The sequence below is a fragment of the Homo sapiens genome, chromosome 8, assembly GCF_000001405.40.
Source record: "Homo sapiens chromosome 8, GRCh38.p14 Primary Assembly".
In the NCBI taxonomy this organism is placed as follows: domain Eukaryota; kingdom Metazoa; phylum Chordata; class Mammalia; order Primates; family Hominidae; genus Homo; species Homo sapiens.
Genome location: NC_000008.11, coordinates 138,145,043 through 138,172,804, shown reverse-complemented (window position 1 = coordinate 138,172,804; position 27,762 = coordinate 138,145,043). Strand labels below are relative to the sequence as shown.

Genomic DNA, 27,762 nt, shown 5'->3' with positions numbered 1-27,762 from the left:
TAAGGAATGAGGATTTCTTATTTACTTAATGCTACCCTTAGTTGCTAATGTATTTATTTACTCAGCTCCCTTTCTCCTTCCCTTCCTCCCTCCCTCTGCATAATTATTCGTCATCCATTATATCCAGGAACTGATCTGGGGACTTTCTATACAATGAATTAAAAAGCTAACAAGGTAGACAAGGTCTCTGCCCTCACTGGACGGAGAAGACAATAAATAAATTTGCAGATAAGCAAGAAAATTAAAGATGGGGCTAAAGAACCGGGTAATAGAAAGTTCCTGATTTGACCAAGTAGGACCAGTGGCTCTCTAAAGTAGGGTGTTAAAGGAGAACAGTTCAGAGAAGGTGACATTTATACTCACTGAGGTCTGAGGGTGGGAAGCAGCCCAGGAGGACAGTGCATTACAGGTGGAGGTAACAGCCAGGGCAAAGGCCCTGAGGCCAGACACAGCCTGAATGCTGCACCAAAGATCTAGGAGAACGTCAGTGGGGCTGGAGGGCAGTGTGTGAAGAGGAAGGTGGAGGAGTTACAGGGATGGCAGGGGTGGGAGTCATTCAGAGCCTTGGAGAGTCAGAAATCAAGATTCACTCCCAGTTGTGCTAATAATAAACTCAACTCCAACTCCAACTCCACATTCTCCCTGCAGTTTGCTTAATTCAGAGAGAAAGTTGTTTTTCCCTTTAAATATTGTTCAAATATTGTTGCCTTTAAATTGACCTTTCTCAGCCTATCCCTCTTTATTCTCCACAGAACACCAGAAAACACATACACGTAAACATGCACTTGTGCATGCAGCAATAACATTCCCATATATGCACCATGCATGCACCCAGCTACACTCGTATGCACACACATGCACACCTCCACCTGTATAAACACAGATATGTCCATGTAAACACATGTGCACTTGCATACACTCAGGAAAACATACATGCACACATGCCACACCCGTAACCACATGCCTGCATACACCACACATGTAAAGAAACCCACTATCTCACGGACTCCCTGCCTGGTCAGACTGATCATTCTAAAACACAGATGAGGCTGTGGCCCTTCTTGGCCTATTGGTCTTCACTGCTTCCTCATTGCCCACATAGAGTCCAGACTCAAAAAGTGCTCGGGACCTTCCTGCTGCAGCCTCAGCCGTCTGAACCACTCTTGCAGAGCTCCCTAGTTCCCTGCATATGCCATGTTGATTAATTTTATTGATTTAACAAGTATGTTTTAGTCAAATACTGTTCACTGTATGGGAGGCATTGTCTAAGGCACTTGGGATATGCATCATTGAACAAAACAGCATGTGTTGGAAGACAGGTGCTAAACAATAAGCATTATGAATCAATCAGTTATGCAGCATGATGGAAGGTGATAGGCATTGTAAAAACACAGAGCAGGGTAAGTGGACATCACAACTGCCTTTGGTTGAGCTGAGTGGGGTGGATTGTGGTGTTTCCTAACTGTGATCTTTGCCATGGAGGGGAGAGCATCCCTGCCTGGAACACTTCTCCCCGACTTGCTTCAGTCAATTAGCACCTGGTAATTTTTGTTACCAGGATCTGTTTTTGTCAGCGTTCTCCAGAGAGACAGAACCCATAGGATATACATGGAGAGAGAGAGATGAGAAGAAATATATTAGGACAATTGGCTCAGTTTATTGTGGAGACCAAGAAGTCCCATGATGGGCCTTCTGCAAGCTGGAGGACCAAGGGAGCTGGCAGCGTGGCTCAGGCCAGGTTGGAATTCCTCAGAACCAAGGAAGCTGATGGTGGCCAAAGGCCTGGGAGCGCATGGAGTGCAGAGGGTGTTGTTGAGAGTCCCAGAGTCCAAGAGCTGGAGAACCTGGAGTTCTGACATCTAAGGGCAGGGGAAGAGCATTCCAGACCCAAGAGAGAGTGAGAGATGAATGTGCCTTTCCTCTGCTTTTCATTTCATCCGGGACCCAACTAATTGGATGGTGCCACCCACATTAAGGGTAGATCTTCCCCACTCAATCCCACAATTTGCATGCCAGTCTCCTCCAGAGACACCCTCACAGACACCCCTGAGGCAGCCCAGTCATTCTAATCCACACTAAACCACCTACATTTCCCTTTCAGCAGAAGAATTGAGAATAATCCATGCAGTGTTTAAGAATGTATAGTGCTTTACCAGCTATATAGGGAATCACATAATCCAATCATGGTGACATCCAAAATCAACCATCACAAATCCACCCCTTGTCAACTTGGCACCCATTCGCATTTCTTAAACCACATTTAATCTTCAAATAAAGATAGTGGGCCGGGCGCGGTGGCTCACGCCTGTAATCCCAGTAGTTTGGGAGGCCTAGGTGGGCAGATCACCTGAGGTCGGGAGTTCAAGACCAGCCTGACCAACACGGAAAAACCCTGTCCCTACTAAAAATACAAAATTAGCCAGGTGTGATGGCACCTGCCTGTAATCCCAGCTACTTGGGAGCCTGAGGCAGGAAAATCGCATGAACCCAGGAGGTGGAGGTTGCGGTGAGCCGAGATTGTGCCATTGCACTCCAGCCTGGGCAACAAGAGCGAAACTCTGTCTCAAAAAAAAAAAAAAAAAAAAAAGATAGTAACAGTGTCTTAGTTACAACTTGCATGACACAACTATCCTGCAACTTCCTCCAGACAGCCACACTGCACTGGCTGTGCATCAAATTTAAGGATGGCAGGGAAGCTTCTCCCATGAGGCCTGCCTAGCAAAACCTTGCAGTTGCCTATGGTTGGGTCTGAGAAGTCATGCACAGGATTTTGGCCTAGAGCCAGACTCCTCAGTTTCCTGCAATCAGAGATAGGCGCTGATTCCTATGTACCCTTTAGCATTTTCAGTCAGTTTTTCAACACTTGCTAGGCATTGCTTTAGGTACTTGGTCACATTCACGAAAGCCCTGTGCTCAAGAAGCTGCATTTCCCTAGATCACAGCCTGCATAACATAACTTAGACCAGACTCTCCCACACCTGTCCTGCTATATTGCTTAATCGCTTGTTTTTTTCATGAATGTTGGCTTGTTCGACCTAAAATCAAGCTGCAATCCTCTAGGTGTACTTCCCAGCCTGTGCACACCAGCCTAAGTTCACAGGTGCTCAGCATATTTTCTAATAAAACCAAAACTGGTCCAGAAGTTCCAGATTCAGAAGGTGGCAAAAGGTACAGAATTGAGTGCAATAAAACTCCATTTAAACACTCAGATGAGAATATTTAAAGAGTTAAATATGCTGAGAAGAATATTTAAAGAGTTAAATATGCTGAGAAGAATATTTAAAGAGTTAAATATTCCGAGAAGAACATTTAAAGAGTTAAATAATCCGAGAAGAACATTTAAAGAGTTAAATATTCAGAGAACATTTAAAGAGTTAAATATTCAGAGAACATTTAAAGAGTTAAATATTCAGAGAAGAACATTTAAAGAGTTAAATATTCAGAGAAGAACATTTAAAGAGTTAAATATTCAGAGAAGAACATTTAAAGAGTTAAATATTCCGAGAATTCAGAGTTATGAAGTTGTAGCAGCCTTCAGGGCTTTGATGAAGAGAAAATAACCCTTCCCTTGTGGTGGGTTAAGATCCAATTGAAAAATGAGAAGGAAACAAAATATACATATTTAATATGTATATTAAATAGATATGTATATGAAATCATAGTTAATATGTAAATTCACTATGTATATTATATGAAATATACATACATAAATATTATATATTTCCATACATTTATCTTCATTGCATCTGTTACTGAGAATGCTGAGTTTGAGAATTTGCTTTGAGTCTGTGCAGAGTTTCACAGCTACAAAGCTCTTCTACAGGCAGCTGGTCTACAAGACTGGAGAAGGGGGGCTTCCAGAGGCCGAGCTGCTCCAACAAGAGTGATGGACAGACACACATAATCTAGCTCTGCAAGCTCAAGTCTTCCCAAAACTCATAGACTCCGTAAGGCTCCTTCTTCCCTTGAGGGAAGAGTGATTGAGTTGGCATGGAAAAAAATGATGAAATGTTCATGCTTTTTCCTTTATAGAGTAAAATAAACTCTTCCCCTACTGTAGAAACTTGATGAGAAGGGAATACACACTTTCTACCACCCCAGCCTTCGAATTAGGAATGGTGATTATTCCAAACTCTGGAATTGAATTCCTGTTGATGGAAGGATATATATGTCATAAAGAAAGAATATGGGACATTTTTTCTTCATCTTACAGGGGAAACCAAAAAATATGGCCCTTGATCTAGGGAAATTTATACCTTCATCCAGGATGCCACTATCCATGTAATAATCAATAGAAAAGGTATTTTAGATAGGTTTTAATTCAAATATGCCAAAATATGACCAGATCCTAAGTGGTCTAAGAAGTAAGAAAAGAGTAAAAGATACATACATTTACATTTTTTTCAAAATGCTAATTTAAAATTTCTAAATTTCTAGTCATTTAAAAACTCAGCTTGCTTTCCACTAATGTGGTATTTATTATATTCCACTAAAATGGTCGATGATAAATACTCTTGTCAAGTTTCTGCTAATCCTACAATCCATGTCCTCTAACTTCAGCACCTCAGCCAGTTCCAAAACAAAGCAGACTATGGCTCTGGGGGCTAAGTAGGTGGGTGGAAGAAAAGGATGATGGGCAGACAATTGCCAGAGTCAGCTGAGAACCGAGTATTTTCCCGGGATTAGGAAGAGGGGGCAACGGTTTGGAAACCTCTGACTCTTCCCTGGACGCTCACCCTGCCATGTGCTCCCCAGGATACAGACGCACAGCCAGCTGTCCCTGGATATCCGGAACTCGGAGTACCTCACTAGCATGCCCCCGCTGCCTGCAGAGTGCCTGGACATCGACGGCGATTGGAACACCCTGCCGGTGATCTTTGAGGACAGATACGTGGACTGCCCTGCGACAGGTTTGTCTGTTTTGTTTTGGAAAGACTCAGGAATAAGGCTTTCCAGTGGGATTCTGACAATGGCACAGTTTGTTTATATTCCAGCAAAAGTGAGACCAAATTAATGAAGGATTATGTCAGTTCATAGAGAGGAAACAAAGTAATGGTTTGAAATGACTTTGTTTCCATGAAATAGACAAAACGATCTAACAAAATAACCATGAAAGACTTCCTCCCTGACTCCTTCTGGAGTGGAATTATACGTAGTGCTTCAGCGTTTTCACCTGCAAAATGGGCACCACAGCCTGCCCACCCCCACACCAGAGTGACATGAAAGTCAGATGAAGATTCTTTCTTATCTCAAATGTGCCATTCAAATAAATATGATTTCCAGGTGAACTTTAAAGGCATTGGGCCAAAGGCTGGACGCCGTGGCTCGCGCCTGTAATCCCAGCACTTTGGGAGGCCGAGGTGGGCAGATCAACTGAGGTCAGGAGTTCAAGACCAGCCTGGCCAAAATGGAGAAACCCCATCTCTACTAAAAATACAAAAATGAGCTGGGCGTGGTGGCGGACACCTGTAATCCCAGCTACTTGGGAGGCTGAGGCAGGAGGATCGCTTGATCCCAAGAGGCAGAGGTTGCAGTGAACCGAGATCTCGCCATCGCATTCCAGCCTGGGCAACAAAGCAAGACTCCATCCCCTCAAAATAAAAAAATAATAATAACAAATAAAGGCATTGGCCATTTGGGCAACTGTCTGTATGGAGTTAGCACATTATCCCCCTGTCTGCTTGGGTGTTTTTTCTCCAGGTATTTTGATTTCCCCCCATGGTCTACAGCTGTGCACATTAGGTGAATTGGTGTGTATACATCATCCTGGTCAGAGTGAGTGTGGGTATGTGTGAGTGCGCCCTGAGATGGGATGGTGTCTTGTCCAGGGCTGAGTCCTACAATGGGATGGTATCTTCTCCAGGCTGATTTGTTTTCCTGAACCAACAGGAAAGGGTAAAGTATGGAAGCACTCAGCGAGCTACCATATTCCTGATTGATTGTGAACTACAGGTTGGTAGGATGTGCTCCTTACAATTTCACTTTGCAGACATTTATTCTTTGATCTAACCCACCACCACTACAACTGCCGTCACTCATCGAGTCACCAAATACTGGGAAAATCATTATTTGTTTTTATTAATTGTTCTTAAATGTATGTATATCTCAGATTTACTTCAGGGTTTAATATTAGAAGTGTTTTAAGTCTGTAAGTTTAATGATGTTTTGGGGATCAGAAATATGCCATAGGAACTTAGCTCTTGTTTATATCAATTAGCCTATGGTAAAACTGGTTCTGTTATACATCCTTTTAATTGTGTTATAGGTCAGTGTTTCCAGCAACCTACTGATGATGTTAAATGAGGACTTACCGTATATGGATTAATAGATGAATGATTCATTTCAGGAGGAAAAGATCACATGTTTGTGTGTATTGTTTGTGTATATGTATCCAGAGTGCAACCTGTTTTGCTGCTTTCACACATGCTTTCACACAGAGTTTGTTAATGGACTGAGAGGTCAAGTGGGGAGTGGGCAAGAGGTCAAGGCTCGTTTCTTGTCCTGCCCCACGGCCCTGCTCCTGGAAACCCAACAAGCTAAATTGTCCTGTGTCCCTTCGAGGATCAGAAAAACATCAGGCTCTGTGCTGGAGGTTTTGGGTGTTTTATCTCTTTAATCCTATAAACAACCTCACAAACTCAATGCCACAGAGAGAATCTGAGGCACTAAGTATAAGCATGTATTAAAGATCACAAGGCTTATTAAAGCCGACGTTCAACGCCAACTCTGATTCCAAAGTCTGTGCTCTGCCTCGCTGTCTGTGCAAGTTTTAAATCATCATGTTTAGGTGCCCATCATTTAAATGATGCTTTAAAATGGCTAAATTTCAAAGATTCTGCTACCTGAGACTTGTAGGATATTTTAAAAATCCAAGTGACTTCCAAGGGCAGTGCAACCTTGCAAATATACGGTTATTTGGTTCTCAGTTATACCCTGACATCTAGTGTCAGTATAGTGTATGGCAGTTATAAAGTGTACAGGCCAGAGAGCCTCCAAACCAACTGGTCAAAACAAGTTTAAAACATGACACTGAGACGTTTTCTTCTGTGAGGTGTGTGTGTGCATGTATGTATGTGTGTTTGCATATATATGTATGTGTATGTATGCATACATAGGTATGCATGTATATTAATATGTAAGTGCATCTTCATTAGAGTTACATGATTTAACTACAGAGAATCTGAACTGTTGGAGAAGAAATTTAAATTAATCGCCCACTAGCAGATCCTCTAGTATTATCATTATTAGGTTTTGTTGCAGATTGTCTTCCAGTCTTTTTTTCTGCACATATTAACATACATTCTTGTGAATATGAATCTCAGTCCCTCAACTCACAGGTGAAGTTATAACACATATCTCTATTTTTTTAATAAATTAGTTCCCTTGGCCAGTCACAGTGGCTCACACCTGTAATCTCTGCACTTTGGGAGGCTGAGGCGGGTGGATCACCTGAGGTCGGGAGTTCGAGACCAGCCTGACTAACATGAAGACACCCCATCTCTTCTAAAAATACAAAATTAGCCGTGTGTGGTGGCACATGCCTGTAATCCCAGCTACTCGGGAGGCTGAGGCAGGAGAATCGCTTGAACCTGGGAGGCAGAGGTTGTGATGAGCCTAGATCCCGCCATTGCACTCCAGCCTGGCCAACAAGAGTGAAACTCCGTCTCAAAAAAAAAAAAAAATCAATTAAATAAATAAATAAATTCATTCCCTCTCTGCGCCTCCATCCTGCAATATCAGCTGGAAAATCAACCTCAGTCTTTCTGGGGCTTCTCTGCTCACTCCTTTCTCACCACCTCTCACGTCAGTGCCCTGGAGTCAAACAGCAACAAGACATGGTTGCAGAAGATCTTTCTAAGATTGTCCGAACGTGTGGTTCCTCTAATCCATTGGTTATCCATATTTATGTTGTGAATCCCAAAAACCTGAGATAGGTCTTAGTTAATTTAGAAAGTTTATTTTGCTGAGGTTGAGGACATGCACCCGTGACACAGCCTCAGGAGGTCCTGACGACATGTACCCAAGGTGGTCAGAGCACAGCTTGGTTTTATGCATTTTAGGGAGACATGAGACATCAATCAAGATACATAAGATGAACTCTGGTTCAGTGTGGAAAGACGGGACAATTCTAAGCGGGGAGGGGGCTTTCAGGTAATGGATAGATAAGAGACAGATGGTTGTATTCTTTTGAGTTTCTGATGAGCCTCTCCAAAGGAGGTAATCAGATATGCATTTATCTCAGTGAGCAGAGGGGTAGCTTTGAATAGAATGGGAGGCAGGTTTGCCTTAAGCAGTTCCCAGCTTGGCTTTTCCCTTTAGCTTAGTGATTTTGGGGGCCTCAAGATATTTTCCTTTCACAATGTCATATTTTAGGACCAGCCTCTCTTTGCAGCTTCTGTGTTGAGCTTGAGGCTGGGACTCCGGCACAGTGCAGGTGCACTCATCTTCCTGGAAGAACAAAGGCAGTCACTCTCAGAGGCGGGTCTCTCTTCTCCAGGCTTCTCTCCATGGACCTCTGACCTGAGCCTTCTCTATCCCTCAGACTACTTTTACAGAAATATCTGTACCCCTTCTCCATACTGGAAGCTTTTCTTGAACTCCTTGATCTCTCACAAAGCATTTTGATGATTCTTTAACCCCAGATCAAAAGCATGAGTGATAAAGAACTATTTTCTCTTCCCTCAAGAACCCAGTGACCTTAATACTTACGCCTTGCCATGACGTTATCAGATACAATTATATTCCATTCTTCTAGTGTAAGGAAAAAAGGGAAATAAAAGATTTCCATTTCTATGTTAAAATAATAGCATTTGCTGGGCATGGTGGCTCACACCTGTAGTCCAAGCTTCTCGAGAGGCTGAGGTGGGAGGTTTGCTTGAGCCCAGGAGTTTGAGGCTACAGTGAGCTGTGACCGTGCCTCCTGTCACTGAACTCCAGCCTGGGTGACAGGTGAGACCCTGTCTCTAAAAGGAAAAAACAACTAACAAAAGCCATAATAGCATTTGTTCATGGTCTGTGACAATAGCATTTGTTCATGGTGTATTAGTATGTTCTCATGCTGTTGATAAAGACATACCCAAGACTGGGTAACTTATAAAGAAAAAGAGGTTTAATGGACTCACAGTTCCACGTGGCTAGGGAGGCATCACACGGTGGAAGGTGAAACGCACGTCTTACATGGCAGCAGGCAAAGAGAGAATGAGAGCCAAGTGAAAGGGTTTTCCCTTTATAAAACCATCAGATCTTGTGAGGTGTATTCACGAGCACGAGAACAGATGGGGGAAACTGCCCCCATGATTCAATTAAGTCCCACCAGGTCCCTCCCACAACATATGGGAATTAAGGGAGCTGCAATTCAAGATAAGGTTTGGGTGGGGACACAGCCAAACCATATCACATGGCCTAAACATGTGCCATGTGCCAGGCACGCTGCAATATCTGTCTTTGTCTCTGCTCCCCCAACACCCACACCATGCCTCTCTATCCCAAGACAATTGGGAGGTTCGCCTAAAGCCTGAAGAGTTAGCCAGATTGTCAGATTGTCTGGTTTTGAGTCTTTCCCCCTAACAATTATTAACCGTGTGAAATTGGGCAAAAGGGGTTGTAATTTCTCCTCCAGGGGATTGCTGTGACTAGTGGATTGATCAGTCCATAAAACACTTAAAAGAGCAACTGGCATAAAGGCATTCTGAATGCACGTTAACTAACACTATTCATTAGTATTTGACTCTAAATCCATTCTCTTTCAATTAGATCTTCTGCTACTTTCATTTTTCTATAGTTGCAATAGTGAAACTAATTATTTGCTATTTTGGCAACTGACTTACTTTCTGCACTTTCTGTTTCCTGTCTTAACTGTCTGTGATGAATCTGATAAAATTTTTTTTTAATTCCAAGAATCTATGACCTGTGGTATAAAGACCAGATGACTCATTTATACAAGGCATTCAAGTTTTTCTATGGCGTGGGTTCTCTCTCTCTGTCTGACGTCATACACCCCATACCTCACTCTTGTTCCATCCACGTGGGAATGAACCAAAGCTGGAGCAGAGTGTGCCCAGCCTTCTGGGCCTTTGCCCATGCTGCTCCCTGTGCTTAGTGTGGCTCATTCCCACCTTTTCTGAAGAAGCTCATTTCATATTCCCCAGCAGTCCCATTCTTTTTTCATTTTTTAAAGACTTTTTAAAAGAGATTTCAGGTTCCCAGTAAAGGAAAATAAAGAGGAAGGTGCAGAGATTTCCTACATACCTCCTGTGCCCTCACATGCATAGCCTTCTTCATTATCAACATCTCCTACCTGAGTGGTGCCTTTGTTACAGCAGATGAACCTCTACTGACGTGTCATTATCACCCAAAGTTCCTAGTTTGCACGAGGGTTCCTTCTTTATGTTGCACATTCTATATGGGTTTGGACAGACGTATAATGAGTGACGTGCATCCACTCTTATAGTATCATACACAGTAGTTCCATTGCTCGAAAAATCCTCTGTGCTTAGCCTATTTATCCTGCCTTCTCCCCCGTGCCTGGCAACCACTGGTGTTTTTACTATCTTCATAGGTTTGCCATAGTCCACATTATTTTGGCAGAAGAGATAGCTGTATCTGTATATGTTTCCCAATATTTTGCAAATCCCTTAAAGGCAGAGCCTGGTTCACTGTTATAACTAGTACTCACTTTCCCTCCTCCTAAGCCACTGCCTAGGATAGGGATTTTTCACATAGAATATGTCAAAGTACTGTGTGTGGGACTAAATGATATTGAAGCAAATTTTTTCAAACCAATGCAAACAATAATGAGCTTATTATTATTTGTTTTGTTGGAATTCTGTTCTATTCTCAATTCATCACCTATGTACTAGCCATGATGCTAGCCTTGGGGCTATAGAAATTCACAAAACACCAACTCTTCTCTCTAGACTTGACAACAGATGCACAAACAGATCATAGTATGGCAATAGGATATATCACACTGCATGTAAGTAGAAGGGAGGCTCGGAATTTCTTAGAGAAGGTCTAACTTGCGGTAGGTCGTGGGAAGGGTATTGTAGAGAGAGGCAAGTTTGTTCACAGTTTCTTAAGGTGCAAAGAATGCGCCCTGGTAAGGAAGAGATCCGTTATTTCCTTGCTGCAATCATAAACTTCATTCAAAGGCATCATGTCTTAATGCTTCCTGCAGTTAGCTATGTAGTGTCTCAGTGGTTTACTTCATGGTCACATTCAATAGTGATTGCATTGATTTAACTTCTGCTAAGACCATGTGGAGGATTTAAACTTTTTAAAGAAAATAAAAATCCAGTCCTTTTTTTTGTTTGGTGTATATGTAAATTGAATAATATGTCACACGACTATTTCATGACAGCCATGATACAGACAGACATGAGAGGTTATTGTTTTTGTCCAGTTACGAATTCTTAGAAAGGAGGGAGGCAGAGAGAAAGAGAAAGAGGGAGAGAGAAGAAAGGGAAGAAGAGATAAGAGATTGAGAAGAGATTGAGAGAGATAATGGCTTACCTAAATAAAAATAGGAAAAGATCATCTTTGGCTCCCCACCATCTGATTATGAAGATCACAATGGTTCTGGGAGCTTTCCTGTGGTCTGAGTGCCACAAAGGAGAGTTTCTCTGAATAGAATTCAAGCTTGGCAGTATTTTTCTGAGAAAGTAGAAATCTGTCTTCCCCAGGTGTAACATCATCTTGTATCATAACTCTACTTTGATTTATGACTGTAGAGCATGAAGTTTATTTTGAATCTTCCCATTGTAGAGTTGAGCAAAGTGACCTCTAATAGGATAATAGCTTATCTAAGTTCCATAGTTGTCCAAGGTCTCATCGCTGGTAAATGGCAATGTCAGAATTGAAAATCAGGCTTTTCTGGCTCTAAAGCTGTCTTTTACTCTGTAAGTATTGTGCATAAGATGGAGAAATGCTTTGATATTTACAAATGGGGATTATTACACATACTTTGATAAGTTAAAACTTAATGGATGACAGGTTTTGACAGCTTTTTGTTTGTGCAGTGCAGTTCTGACGCTAACTACCCAGAGATCAAACTTCACCATCTAAGGGCACAATCCTTGATGAACTTGACCTTTAAATATCAGACACCAGGCTGGGTGTGGTGGCTCACGCCTGTAATCCTAGCACTTTGGGAGGCCGAGGCGGGTGGATTGCCTGAGCTCAGGAGTTCGAGACCAGCCTGGGCAACATGGTGAAACCCCATCTCCACTAAAATACAAAAAAAAAAAAAAATGAGCTGGGCATGGTGGCATGTGCCTGTAATCCCAGCTACTTGGGAGGCTGAGACAGGAGAAACACTTGAACCTGGGAGGTGGAGATTGCAGTGAGTCAAGATGGAGACACTGCACTCCAGCCTGTGCCACAGAACGAGACTCCATCTCAAAAGAAAAAATAAATAAATAAATAAATAAATAAAACCAGACACCAGCTCAGGGGTTCCCAGGCCACCCATATACTGAACAACTGGCTATAAATTGTGGGTTTCCATAAGCCTTCAGGTTCAATAATTTGTTAGAATGACTCCCAGAACTCAGGAAAGCGTCATAAATTTGATCGCATTTTTATTATACAAGTAACATCCAGTCAAAAAGGAGATCCATAGGATGAGGTCTGAGGGGTCTCAGACATAAACCTTCTGTGCCCTCAGGACTTACCACCCCCCAGGCACACCAGTCTGTGTCATCACTAGAGACACTCATCTAAGCCTCAGAATTCAGAGTGTTTATCGGGGGTTAATTGTAACCAAAATCAATCTCCAGGCCACTCTTTCCCAGAAATCAGGCTAGTATTACTTGACTGAATGTCTTAACTCTCTAGTCACATGATTGGTCTTTCCAGCATGGCCAACCTCTATCCTGAACTAACTTATTAGCATATAGTGTTTAAGCATGCATCATGAGTCCCTGGTTAGCATAAATTATCAAGACCCCATAAATACCAAAGACACTCTTTATCATTTGAGAAATTCTAAGAATCCAGAGAGTATCTCTTAGGAATTAGGAATGAAAAAAAGCCAAATTCTTTTTTTTAAAATTATACTTTAAGTTCTAGGGTACAAGTGCACAATGTGCAGGTTTGTTACATATGTATACATGTGCCATGTTGGTGTGCTGCACCCATTAAGTCATCATTTACATTAGGTATATATTGCCTAATGCTATCCCTCCCCCCTCCCCCCACCCCACGACAGGCCCTGGTGTGTGGTGCTACCCACCCTGTGTCCAGGTGTTCTCATTGTTCAATTCCTATCTATGAGTGAGAACATGTGGTGTTTGGTTTTCTGTCCTTGCGATAGTTTGCTCAGAATGATAGTTTCCAGCTTCATCCATGTCCCTACAAAGGACATGAATTCATCCTTTTTTATGGATGCATAGTATTCCATGGTGTATATGTGCCACATTTTCTTCATCCAGTCTATCATTGATGGACATTTGGGTTGGTTCCAAGTCTTTCCTATTGCGAATAGTGCCGCAATAAACATATGTGTGCATGTGTCTTTTTTTTTTTTTGAGACGGAGTCTCGCTCTGTCGCCCAGGCCGGACTGCAGACTGCAGTGGCGCAATCTCGGCTCACTGCAAGCTCCGCTTCCCGGGTTCACGCCATTCTCCTGCCTCAGCCTCCCGAGTAGCTGGGACTACAGGCACCCGCCACCGCGCCCGGCTAATTTTTTGTATTTTTAGTAGAGACGGGGTTTCACCTTGTTAGCCAGGATGGTCTCGATCTCCTGACCTCATGATCCACCCGCCTCGGCCTCCCAAAGTGCTGGGATTACAGGCGTGAGCCACCACGCCCGGCCGTGCATGTGTCTTTATAGCAGCATGATTTATAATCCTTTGGGTGTATATCCAGTAATGGTTTGGCTGGGTCAAATGGTATTTCTAGTTCTAGATCCTTGAGGAATCGCCACACTGTCTTTCACAATGGTTGAGCTAGTTTACAGTCCTACCAACAGTGTAAAAGTGTTCCTATTTCTCCACATCCTCTCCAGCACCTGTTGTTTCCTGACGTTTTAATGATCACCATTCTAACTGGTGTGAGATGGTATCTCATTGTGGTTTTGATTTGCATTTCTCTGATGGCCAGTGATGATGAACATTTTTTCATGTGTCTGTTGGCTGCATAAATGTCTTCTTTTGAGAAGTGTCTGTTCATACCCTTTGCCCACTTTTTGATGGGGTTGTTTGATTTTTTCTTGTAAATTTGTTTAAGTTCTTTGTAGATTCTTGATCTTAGCCCTTTGTCAGAAGGGTAGATTATAAAAATTTTCTCCCATTCTGTAGGTTGCCTGTTCACTCTGATGGTAGTTTCTTTTGCTGTGCAGAAGCTCTTTAGTTTAATTTGTCAATTTTGGCTTTTGTTGCCATTGCTTTTGGTGTTTTAGTCATGAAGTCCTTGCACATGTCTATGTCCTGAATGGTATTGCCTAGGTTTTCTTCTAGGGTTTTTATGGTTTTAGGTCTAACATTTAAGTCTTTAATCCATCTTGAATTAATTTTTGTATAAGGTGTAAGGAAGGGATCCATTTTCAGCTTTTATACATATGGCTAGCCAGTTTTCCCAGCACCATTTATTTAAAAAGGGAATCCTTTACCCATTTCTTGTTTTTGTCAGATTTGTCAAAGATCAGATGGTTGTAGATGTGTGGTATTATTTCTGAGGGTTCTGTTCTGTTCCATTGGTCTATATCTCTGTTTTAGTACCAGTACCTTGCTGTTTTGGTTACTGTAGCCTTGTACTATAGCTTGAAGTCAGGTAGTGTGATGCCTCCAGCTTTGTTCTTTTGTCTTAGGATTGACTTGGCAATGCGGGCTCCTTTTTGGTTCCCTATGAACTTTAAAGTAGTTTTTTCCAATTCTGTGAAGAAAGTCATTGGTAGCTTGATGAGGGTGGCATTGAATCTATAAATTACCTTGGGCATTATGGCCATTTTCACAATATTGATTCTTCCTATCCATGAGCATGGAATGTTCTTCCATTTGTTTATGTCCTCTTTTATTTCATTGAGCAGTGGTTTGTAGTTTCTCCTTGAAGAGATCCTACATGTCCCTTGTAAGTTGGATTCCTAAGTATTTTATTCTCTTTGAAGCAATTGTGAATGGGAGTTCACTCATGATTTGGCTCTCTGTTTGTCTGTTATTGGTGTGTAGGAATGTTTGTGATTTTTGCACATTGATTTTGTATACTGAGACTTTGCTGAAGGTGCTTATCAGCTTCAGGAGATTTTGGGCTGAGACAATGGGGTTTTCTAAATATACAATCATGTCATCTGCAAACAGAGACAATTTGACTTCCTCTTTTCCTAATTGAATACCCTTTATTTATTTCTCCTGCCTGATTGCCTTGGCCAGAACTTCCAACACCATGTTGAGTAGGAGTGGTGAGAGAAGGCATCCCTGTCTTATGCCAGTTTTCAAAGGGAATGCTTCCAGTTTTTGCCCATTCAGTATGATAGTGGCTGTGGGTTTGTCATAAATAGCTCTTATTATTTTGAGATATGTCCCATCAATACCTAGTTTATTGAGAATTTTTAGCATGAAGTGCTGTTGAATTTTGTCAAAGGCCTTTTCTGCATCTATTGAGATAATCATGTGGTTTTTGTCCTTGGTTCTGTTTGTATGATGAATTACGTTTATTGATTTGCATATGTTGAACCAGCCTTGCATCCCAGGGATGAAGCCAACTTGATCGTGGTGGATAAGCTTTTTGATGTGCTGCTGGATTCTGTTTGCCAGTATTTTATTGAGGATTTTTGCATTGATGTTTATCAGGAATATTGGTCTAAAATTCTCTTTTTTCGATGTGTCTCTGCCAGGCTTTGGTATCAGGATGATGCTGGCCTCATAAAATGAGTTAGGGAGGATTCCCTCTTTTTCTATTGATTGGAATAGTTTCAGAAGGAATGGTACCAGCTCCTCCTTGTACCTCTGGTGGAATTTGGCTGTGAATCCGTCTGGTCCTGGACTTTTTTGGTTGGTAGGCTATTAATCACTGCCTCAATTTCAGAGCCTGTTATTGATCTATTCAGAGATTCAGCTTCTTCCTGGTTTAGTCTTGGGAGGGTGTATGTGTCCAGGAATTTATCCATTTCTTCTATATTTTCTAGTTTATTTGCGTAGAGGTGTTTTTAGTATTCTCTGATGGTAGTTTGTATTTCTGTGGGATTGGTGGTGATATCCCCTTTATCATTTTTTATTGTGTCTATTTGATTCTTCTCTCTTTTCTTCTTTATTAGTCTTCCTAGAGGTCTATCAATTTTGTTGATCTTTTCAAAAAAACAACTCCTGGATTCGTTGATTTTTTTGAAGGGTTTTTTGTGTCTCTATCTCCTTCAGTTCTGCTCTGATCTTACTTATTTCTTGCCTTCTGCTAGCTTTTGAATGTGTTTGCTCTTGCTTCTCTAGTTCTTTTAAGTGTGATGTTAGGGTGATTATTTTAGATCTTTCCTGCTTTCTCTTGTGGGCATTTAGTGCTATGAATTTCCCTCTACACACTGCTTAAATGTGTCCCAGAGATTCTGGTATGTTGTGTCTTTGTTCTCATGGGTTTCAAAGAACATCTTTATTTCTGCCTTCATTTCATTATGAACCCAGTAGTCATTCAGGAGCAGGTTGTTCAGTTTCCATGTAGTTGAGCGGTTTTGAGTGAGTTTCTTAATCCTGAGTTCTAATTTGATTGCACTATGGTCTGAGAGACAGTTTGTTATAATTTCTGTTCTTTTACATTTGCTGAGGAGTGCTTTACTTCCATCTATTTGGTCAGTTTTGGAATAAGTGTGATGTAGTGCTGAGAAGAATGTATATTCTGTTGATTTGGGGTGGAGAGTTCTGTAGATGTCTATTAGGTCTGCTTGGTGCAGAGCCGAGTTCAAGTTCTGGATATCCTTGTTAACTTTCTGTCTCGTTCATCTGTCTAATATTGACAGTGGGGTATTAAAATCTCCCACTATTATTGTGTGGGAGCCTAAGTCTCTTTGTAGGTCTCTAAGGACTTGCTTTATGAATCTGGGTGCTCCTGTATTGGGTGCATATATATTTAGGACAGTTAGATCTTCTTGTGGAATTGATCCCTTTACCATTATGTAATGGCTTTCTTTGTCTTTTTTGGTCTTTGTTGGTTTAAAGCCTGTTTTATCAGAGACTAGGATTGCAACCCCTGTTTTTTTTTGTTTTCCATTTGCTTGGTAGATCTTCCTCCATCCCTTTATTTTGAGCCTATGTGTGTCTCTGCACATGAGATGGGTCTCCTGAATACAGCACACTGATGGGTCTTGACTCTTTATCCAATTTGCCAGTCTGTGTCTTTTAATTGGAGCATTTAGCCCATTTACATTTAAGTTTAATATTCTTATGTGTGAATTTGATCCTGTCATTATGATGTTAGCTGGTTATTTTGCTCGTTAGTTGATGCAGCTTCTTCCCAGCATCGATGGTCTTTACAATTTGGCATGTGTTTGCAGTGGCTGGTACTGGTTGTTCCTTTCCATGTTTAGTGCTTCCTTCAGGAGCTCTTGTAAGGCAGGCCTGGTGGTGACAAAATCTCTCAGCATTTGCTTGTCTGTAAAGGATTTTATTTCTCCTTCACTTATGAAGCTTACTTTGGCTGGATATGAAATTCTGGGTTGAAAGTTCTTTTCTTTAAGAATGTTGAATATTGGTCCCCACTCTCTTCTGGCTTGTAGAGTTGTTGCTGAGAGATCCACTGTTAGTCTGATGGGCTTCCCTTTGTGGGTAACCCAATCTTTCTCTCTGGCTGCCCTTAACATTTTTTCCTTCATTTCAACTTTGGTGAATCTGATAATTATGTGTCTTGGAGTTGCTCTTCTCAAGGAATATCTTTGTGGAGTTCTCTGTATTTCCTGAATTTGAATGTTGGCCTGCCTTGTTAGGTTGGGGAAGTTCTCCTGAATAATATCCTGAACAGTGTTTTCCAACTTGGTTCCATTCTCCTCGTCACTTTCAGGTACACGAATTAGATGTATATTTGGTCTTTTCACATAGTCCCGTATTTCTTGGAGGCTTTGTTCATTTCTTTTTACTCTTTTTTTCTCTAAACTTCTCTTTTCACTTCATTTCATTCATTTGATCTTCAATCACTGATGCCCTTTCTTCCACTTGATTGAATCGGCTACTCAAGCTTGTGCATGTGTCATGTAGTTCTCATGCCATGGTTTTCAGCTCCTTCAGGTCATTTAAGGTCTTCTCTATGCTGTTTATTCTAGTTAGCCATTTGTCTAATCTTTTTTCAAGGTTTTTACCTTCTTTATGGAGGGTTTGAACATCCTCCTTTGGCCTGGAGAAGTTTGTTATTACCGATCATCTGAAGCGTACTTCCGTCAACTCCTCAAAGTCATTCTCCATCCAACTTTGTTCTGTTGCTGGTGAAGAGCTGTGTTCCTTTGGAGGAGAAGAGGCACTCTGATTTTTAGAATTTTCAGCTTTTCTGCTCTGGTTTCTCCCCATCTTTGTGGTTTTATCTACCTTTGGTCTTTGATGATGGTGACGTACAGATGGGTTTTGGTGTGGATGTCCTTTCTGTTTGTTAGTTTTCCTTCTAACAGTCAGGACCCTCAGCTGCAGGTCTTTTGGAGTTTGCTGGAGGTCCACTCCAGATCCTGTTTGCCTGGGTATCACCAGTGGAGGCTGCAGAACAGCAAATATTACAGAACAGCAAATGTTGCTGCCTGATCCTTCCACTGGAAGCTTCGTCTCAGAGGGGCACCCAGCTGTGTGAGGTGTCAGTCAGTGCCTACTGGGAGGTGTCTCCTAGTTAGGCTACTCGGGGGTCAGGGACCCACTTGAGGAGGCAGTCTGTCTGTTCTCAGATTTCAAACTCCGTGCTGGGAGAACCACTACTCTCTTCAAAGCTGTCAGACAGGGAAGTTTTAGTCTGCAGAAGTTTCTGCTGCCTTTTGTTCAGCTATGCCCTGCCCCGAGAGGTGGAGTCTACAGAGGCAGGCAGGCCTCCTTTAGCTGTGGTGGGCTCCACCCAGTTTGAGCTTCCTGGCCACTTTGTTTACCTACTCAAGCCTCAGCAATGGTGGACACCCCTCCCCCAGCCTCGCTGCTGCCTTGCAGTTCGATCTCAGACTGCTGTGCTAGCAGTGAGCTAGGCTTCATGGGTGTAGGACCCTCCAAGCCAGGTGCGGGATATAATCTCCTGGTGTGCCGTTTGCTAACACAGTTGGAAAAGTGCAGTATTAGGGTGGGAGTGTCCTGATTTTCCAGGTACCATCTATCATGGCTTCCCTTGGCTAGGAAAGGGAATGCCCTGACCCCTTGCACTTCCTGGGTGAGGTGATGCCCCGCCCTGCTTTGTCTCACACTCCGTGGGCTGCACTCACTGTCCAACAAGTCCCAATGAGATGGACCCGGTACCTCACTTGGAAATGCAGAAATCACCCGTCTTCTGCATCGCTCACACTGGGAGCTGTAGACTGGAGCTCTTCCTATTCTCCCATCTTCGAACCGAGTCCACATAGCTAAATTCTTTATTATACAGTTAGACATTTGGATAACTTGTAAACACAGATTCTTACACTATAATATAATTTTCTTTCTTTTTTTTTTGTAGGGCATAACTTGAGTGTTTATCCTAATTTTGATGTTCCAGTGACAAGTCCTACAATAATGAATCTGAAAGACAAGGAAGATAACTGTATGGTAAATAGCAATTTATCTTTTAGGGAAGACCTTGTCTTGTCTACCATAAAACCATCCCAAATGGATTCTGATGAAGAAGTTATAAGGTGTCCAGAGCCAGGTGAGAATGTGGCCACACAAAATCATATGGACATGTGCTCTGAATCTCAGGTGTATATATCAATTGGTGAATTTCAAAACAAAGCAGGTGTGCCTGAAGATGAATGTTGGACTGGCCAAACATCTGATGCTGGGACATATCCAGTGGCAGATGTGGATACTTCTAGAAGGAGTCCAGGTCCAGAGGATGGACAGGCCCCAGTGCTGACCTACATTGACGTAAAATCTAGCAATAAGAACCCCTCCAGAGCTGAACCCCTGGTGGCCTTCAATGCTCAGCATGAGAGTAGGAGCTCTAGAGATAAGTATGGATTAGACAGGACTGGGCTAAGCAAAGTGGTAGTAGGTGGAAGCCACCAAAATGCCATCTCTTCAGACAAAACAACTCTCCATGAATTAAGTACTCTAGGAAAGGGAATAGATCAAGAGGGGAAGATGGTGCTGCTAAGCTTGAAACTCACCCCCTCTGAGCCCTGTGATCCACTAAGTTCTACCCTGAGGGAGCCCTTAGATATTAGGTCTTCCCTAAAGGACTCTCACACAGAAGAGCAGGAGGAACTCTCAGTGCTATCCGGGGTCATCAAGAGATCTTCATCCATCATATCTGATTCAGGCATTGAGAGTGAGCCAAGCTCCGTCGCCTGGTCAGAGGCCCGAAGCAGGGCTCTGGAGTTGCCCAGTGATCGGGAAGTCTTGCACCCGTTTGTTCGAAGACATGCCCTCCACCGGAACTCCCTAGAGGGTGGACACACAGAAAGTAACACAAGTTTGCCAAGCGGCATCCAGGCTTCTCTCACCTCCATTAGCTCTTTACCTTTTGAGGAGGATGAGCGGGAGGTGGCACTCACTAAGTTAACCAAGTCTGTATCTGCTCCCCACATCAGTAGCCCAGAGGAGGCTGCTGAAGATGCGGACACCAAGCAGCAAGATGGAGGTTTTGCTGAACCTTCAGATATGCACAGCAAGAGCCAAGGTTCCCCAGGATCTTGCTCTCAACTTTGTGGTGACTCTGGAACAGATGCTGGAGCAGACCATCCCCTGGTGGAGATAGTTTTAGATGCTGACAACCAGCAGGGCCCCGGATACATAGACATCCCCAAAGGGAAAGGGAAGCAGTTTGATGCTCAAGGACACTGTCTTCCTGATGGCAGGACTGAGAACACTCCAGGTGTTGAAACCAAAGGTCTTAATTTAAAAATACCACGCGTCATAGCACTTGAAAACCCCAGGACCAGATCTCTTCATAGAGCACTTGAGGAAACCCCAAAGGGCATGCCTAAAGACTTGAATGTGGGTCAGCAAGCTCTTTCCAACAGTGGCATCTCAGAGGTTGAGGGTCTCTCTCAACATCAGGTGCCTGAATTGAGCTGTACGTCAGCTGCTGATGCCATCAACAGGAACTCAACAGGCCAGCAAAGCCAAAGCGGTTCACCTTGCATTATGGATGACACAGCATTTAATAGAGGAGTGAATGCCTTCCCGGAGGCTAAACATAAAGCAGGCACTGTGTGCCCCACTGTGACCCATTCCGTTCATTCCCAGGTTTTGAAAAACCAAGAGCTGAAGGCAGGCACTTCCATCATGGGGTCCCATCTGACTTCTGCAGAGACCTTTACTCTGGACAGCCTGAAGGCTGTGGAGGTTGTGAACTTATCTGTGTCTTGCACTGCCACCTGTCTCCCTTTCTCATCTGTGCCCAAGGAGACCCCTGCCAGGGCTGGATTCTCTTCCAAACAGACCCTGTTTCCCATCACCCATCAGCCTTTGGGATCCTTTGGAGTTGTTTCTACCCATTCCAGCACGTTGGATGAGGAAGTCAGTGAGAGGATGTTTAGGTAAGCTGGCTGACGGGCTTACCTTTCCCACAACAGTCTTTTAGATTTTTCCACATATTTCTCCATTTCATGCATACTGTTTCAAAATTTAGATATCTGTGATTTTCTGATTTAAATAAGGTAATATACCATATTATAGATAATATATCATATATATTTAATTCATATCATAGGAATTTAAAATGCAGAATACTGAAAGGAAGTAAAAATGGTCAATAAGTCTACCTTCAAATGTAACCACTGTGTATATTCTTCTGCATTTCTTCTATGTGAATCTATATTGATTTATGCTTTTTATACAAAAATTAGACCATTCTGTACAAATGGCAATTGTAAATGTTTAATTTAATAATATATTAGAAATATCTTTCTATGTTTATAAATCTATGTTTGCATCATCATTGTAATGATTACACAATATTCTATTGCATGAATATACCATGACTTATTAACCAAATTCTTTACAAATGAACCTTTAAATTTTGTTCAACTATTTATTTATTTATTTATTTATTTATTTATTTATTGAGACAGAGTCTCACTCTGTCGCCAGGCTGGAGTGCAGTGACGCAATCTCTGCTCACTGCAGCCTCCGCCTGCTGGGTTCAAGTGATTCTCCTGCCTCAGCATCCCAAGCAGCTGGGACTACAGGCACCCACCACCACACCCAGCTAATTTTTGTACTTTTAGTAGAGACGGGGTTTCACCATGTTGGCTAGGATGGTCTCGATCTCTTGACCTCGTGATCTACCCGCCTGGGCCTCCCAAAGTGCTGGGATTACAGGCATGAGCCACAGTACCCCGCCAATTTTGTTCAATTTTTATTACGAATATTATAACTCTCTTATGAATATCATTGTACCTCTACCTTTTCATGTTTTGAAAGGGGAGTTCTTTGAGAGCCTTTGGGGAATACAATTCTTCACCAGATTTGACTCCCAAGCACCCTTTAACATTGTGGGGCTTCTAAGTTTACCTTTGTAATGCCAGAATTCATTTCCTCATCCTTGTATTGGGTTTGTATTCATATTGCTCTCCCATCTATAAACTATATATCTGATTATGTATATAATAGAATCATTTTGTCAAAACATCCCATCTTCTTTACCCTTTTGCAAAATGCTAAAGAGTTACATATTAACGGTGTCTCCAAAAGAAATTGCCACAGGCAGGTAAACATTGGATTTTTGTTTTATAAAGAATGTTAACTACCTATCATATGGTACTTGTCATTAATTCCATGAGTACACAGCAGACATAGTAGATGCTGTCCAGTGCCTGCCTGGTCAGGGTTTCCCTTGCTTTTATTGTACCTGCAGTCTAACGGAGAGACAGACACATGAGAGAAGTAGATGAGGGCAGTGACTGGGTAAATATGATGTTTCATGTGCGCGTGGTGGAGCCAAAAGGAGAAGCACCTAATTTGGCTTGGGGAAATGGGTGTGAATAGGGATAGCAGCCAGGCAAAGCTTCCTAGAGAAGATGGCATCTACTCTGAGAAGAAAATATGAGACAATGATGGTGATGATGATGATGATGATGATGAGGCTAATAACAGATAATAACAAGAAATAGTGAGTGTCAAATTTGAGATTCTGACCTTGGCAGTCTGACTCCAGAGTCCAGTCCCCTAACCATCATCTTGCCAGGTAACCAGACAAAGAGCATCATAGCTAAGTGAGAAAGGCATTTCAGGCACACAGGCCCTCAGGCACCAAGGCATGGAAGTAAAGCCAAGTCATGTAGTTCATGCAGAGAATTATAAGAAATGTGTTATTTGTGGAGGCTGGGAGTGGTGAGGAGTGGTGCTAGAGAAGCAGGGGAAGGCCAAGCCATGGAGGGCCTGGGTGTCAATCAAGTCAAGAAGCTTTCACTTTTTAAAGATTGCATGGGGCCTTGGAGCTGGGTAGAATCTTTGATGTCCTGTCACTCTGTCTCCTGTTCAATGCAGGAATCACATAAGCATCTGCAGAACCAAAACCCATAGAAGCTTCGGGGTTTTTTTGTTTTTGGTTTTCTCTTTTTAAAATTTTATTTATTTATTTATTTATTTATTTTTTTATTATTATACTTTAAGTTTTAGGGTACATGTGCACAACATGCAGGTTTGTTACATATGTATACATGTGCCATGTTGGTGTGCTGCACCCATTAACTCGTCATTTACGTTAGGTATATCTCCTAATGCTATCCCTCCTCCCTCCCCCCACCCCACAACAGTCCCCGGTGTGCGATGTTCCCCTTCCTGTGTCCAAGTGTTCTCATTGTTCAATTCCCACCTATGAGTGAGAACATGCGGTGTTTGGTTTTTATAGAGTGCTTTCCTGCCTCCTTGTTCAGAACAAAGCTTCACTCACTAGCATGTTCCCTGGGGGCTCAAGTCAGCTTTGCCACTCAGCAGGCACTTTGCTTGTGGGTGCTCAGCCCTTCTACATACCAGCCCAGCTCATTTCCTGTTCAACATGAAGTACACAGCTTGGCTTGTGATTAATTAGTGTATTCTCCAGTTTTTATCAGGCCAAAGAAAAATTTAAAAAAGAACTGAAGATTGAAGGATTTCTGTACAGTGACTTAACTGTACTAGCTTCTGATATACCATATTTCCCACCAGAGGAAGAGGAAGAAAATTTGGAAGATGGAATTCACCTGGTTGTCTGTGTCCATGGCCTGGATGGTGAGTTCTAAAACAAGTTTTCTTCCCAAATTCTGTCATATATACAACTTATAATATTTATGTATTAATTTAGATGAGGTATTCATTCAACAGAATGTTCAATTAGCAACTGTGGAATGACAGTAATTATGATGAATCTAAGGAAATGGTATGGCTTGCTGTTGAAGAAAATATCTCTCTGTCACAAAAAACCTGTTAAGTAAATAAAATACATGAATGAATGAATAAATGTAGCGAAGGAGTGAATGGAATAAATCAATACATAAATAAATGGAATAAATGATGAATACAATGAGTGTCAAAGTGAAAGAAAGAATGGAGTGAATGAATTAATGAAATTAATGTATTATGGGAATGAATATATTAATGAAGTGCATGAATACAGTAATTTGAATCCATGAATTCATGGAATTCATGAGTCAATACAATGGTCTGAATAAAGGAAGAAATGGAGAAGAATGAATAAATGTATTCATTTTGAGGAGCTCAGGTTAGTGGCCCAGACTATCTTGCTACCTATGTTTATTTACCTCCCACTTATAGGATACCTTTTGTATACCAGGGACTTTGCTAGGTTCTGGGATTTGCAGGAACAAAAAAACTTTCTCACTCATCAGCTCGATGTCATGCATGACCAGTCTGTTCCTCTCATGTATATGACACTAAAGTAAAATGAGATAAGACTCTCAATAACTTTGTTAAAATAAGAAATCGGATCAGGTTATAGGCAATTTTTTTTTCCATCATGCATGTGAAAGATGAGGAATGTTATAAAGATAGAGCTGCTTCACCCCTTTTGTACTGTCAGAAAACGGAGCCATAGATCACATTATCAACTGGGCAACAAGTCATGAAAACCACAACCGATACCAAGCATAGGGTGCTTTGGAAGATGACTTCTCTAGTTCAAGGTGCATATGTCTAAACTCTGCAGAATTTTCAGGATCCACTTGTTCAAATTCAATTTCCAAGGGCTTATTTGTATTAACAGAGAGCGGAGCACATTGATAACAGTTATGAATATTTACACAACTCTTCATGTTGTACAAAAACCTCAAGATTCGTATTCTTATAAATGTTCTCAGTTTATTAATAACACCTTATTAAATCATATTTTCTGAGAAAATTTTAAGTTGCAGAAAGTTCTCTTTCCCTCAGTAGCTGAAGGAGAGGGGGCCATTTCTACCCATTACTTAACACTTAATGCTGAATATAAACACTTGCAGCTTTTTTTTTTTTCCTAAGGCAGGCCCTGGCATATCATTAGGGAACTTTAAACAATAGAAACAGTGGGACCAAAGAGCCTAATTTTACTGACAAAAATGAAAGAGGGAATGAATAATAATTAACCTCATAACACAAAATGCACAGATTTCCTTTAAAAAAATGACCATTTTATGACTGTGACTCTACAAGTTTGGGCATGTACTCTGACAGGCCACCAACATAGGGGGCGTATGGGCATATCTGAGTCATCCTTAAGCATTAGAGATAACTCCAAACACCTGGACTTCCCCCAATTCCGTGTGGCACTTTCACCCTCCTTTGAATCATTGGGTAGTTTCATAAAGAATGATATTTGTCACTCACAGTTAACAAACTATTTTGGAACTATGACCTGTGGGGTATATTTACATGACAAAGTAGGTAATTTATATATCCAAATACCCAGCTTCTAACTTTCAACTGTACAGGGAACTTTTAAGAAATAGGACAAAAATTTATTAAGACACAATTGAACCCCTACGGCCAGCATTAAATTTATGCCTCACTATACTTCATATAAACCTTATTCTGTCGTAGTAAATCCATTTTTTTTTCACATGACTTTTATTTTGGGAATGCATTTCCTGTATTCTTTGTGCCTTGATAACCTTGCATTCTTAACCTTTCATTCCTCTGCCCCGATGGCCACTGCTGTGCCTCCGTAGAGCTTGCTCTGCCATGTCTCTTGTTCCCAAGAGACAGTCCTATTCTATTTAGATAACTGTGCCATGATTGGCCAGTTGGGAGGTAGGGAGGCTTGCAGATTACCTAGAAAAGGCAGCACTAGATAGTCTTCCTTTTAAGTAAGTAACTGAAGATGGGGCTCGTATGAGTCGCATTGTGCCCCATCAGCCATTCGAAAGAACTGCTTGCAAAATGGAATTTGCTGTGGAAGAAGGGGAGGTGGTGTATCTCCCACTGTTCCTGTATGCAGAGTGTTCACAAGCCACATGCTCACAGATCAGGGATAACTCTATCGAGGTGGGACCGCTAGAAAGAACCAGACTCTGAGTGTGGGGGGCCAAGGGGTAACAGGAGAGCCGGGGTTTCTAGCTGTTTTAGTTGTTTATATTATCTACTTAACCAAAAGTGACAAAACCCAGTAGAAATGGGGAAAGAGGGAGAGAGAAAGAAATTCCTCGTGTGTCAACCTTTTATATGACTAACTACGGGACTGGGATGGGGGTTATCTGTCATTTTTAGGGAACAGTGCAGACCTCCGGCTGGTAAAGACTTTCATAGAACTGGGGCTCCCTGGAGGAAAACTGGACTTCCTAATGTCTGAAAAGAATCAGGTATGATGATACAAATATCAGAACTGGAAGAACCCTGGATGCATGCTTATATGAGCCTCCTAAATGCACCATGATAATTTATGGACACACACAGATAGGAGGAGACCTTGAAAAGAGATGCTGGCCAGGCATTTGGATGGGTTGGAAAGAAGAGACTGTTTTATTTCGGGAGGGAGAGGAAACGGTAAGAAATGAGAACATGTGTATCGGTTGACGGGAGCCTTTGCCCTCACAGGGCATTAGGGTGGGTGGCAAGTGAGAGCATCAATTATTTGGATAATGACTCCCTTCCTAACTGTTGGCGCTCAGTTCTGCTGCCTTTACTTGGGCACCTGCTCTATACAAAGTTGTGCACCATGCAGTACACAGAGGTATAGATGTTGACGGAGAGAGAAGAGAATGACTTTTTGGAGCATCTGAGTACTCCGTACCTGTTTCCCCATTTTATCTTCATGGCAGTTCTATCACACATTGATACCACCATCTCCTCACAGGACAGGGAACACAGCTTCTGGGAGTTAGGCAGGGTCCATGTCAGGCTGTGCTGGAGAGGAGGATACTATATATGATCTCCAGGAAGGTAATTCCTGTGTGCACCCAACTTTAATACGTGAACAAATCTGATGCAGTATTCAGAGAGGATGGCTGGGCGCGGTGGCTCGCACCTATAATCCCAGCATTTTGGGAAGCCAAAGCAGTGAGATCGCTTGAGCCTAGGAGTTCAAAAACAGCCTGGGCAACAAAGTGAGACCCTTTCTCTCCAAAAAATACAAAAATTAGCTTGGTGTGATGGTGTGTGCCTGTATTCCCAGCTACTTGGGAGGCTGAGGTGGGAGGATCACATGAGCCCAAGGAGGTCAAGGTTGCAGTGAACTGTGATTGCACCACTGCACTCCAGCCTGGGTGAAAGAGCAAG

General features: G+C 42.1%; 1 protein-coding gene across 18 annotated transcripts in view; it reads left to right on the top strand.

Moving 5' to 3' along the window:
• The window catches only part of FAM135B (family with sequence similarity 135 member B), a 367,708-nt gene that overhangs the window by 324,926 nt on the left and 15,020 nt on the right, over window positions 1-27,762 (top strand). For 15 of the 18 annotated variants that reach the window (XM_011517062.2, XM_011517061.3, XM_011517063.3 and 12 more), the window contains 4 exons: window positions 4,756-4,910; window positions 19,589-21,611; window positions 24,107-24,285; window positions 26,755-26,846. In XM_011517062.2, the coding sequence (XP_011515364.1) occupies window positions 4,756-4,910; window positions 19,589-21,611; window positions 24,107-24,285; window positions 26,755-26,846 (2,449 nt within the window). The remainder of the gene's footprint in view (window positions 1-4,755; window positions 4,911-19,588; window positions 21,612-24,106; window positions 24,286-26,754; window positions 26,847-27,762) is intronic. The other 3 variants (NM_001362965.2, NM_015912.4, XM_047421814.1) reach the window with 1 other exon arrangement.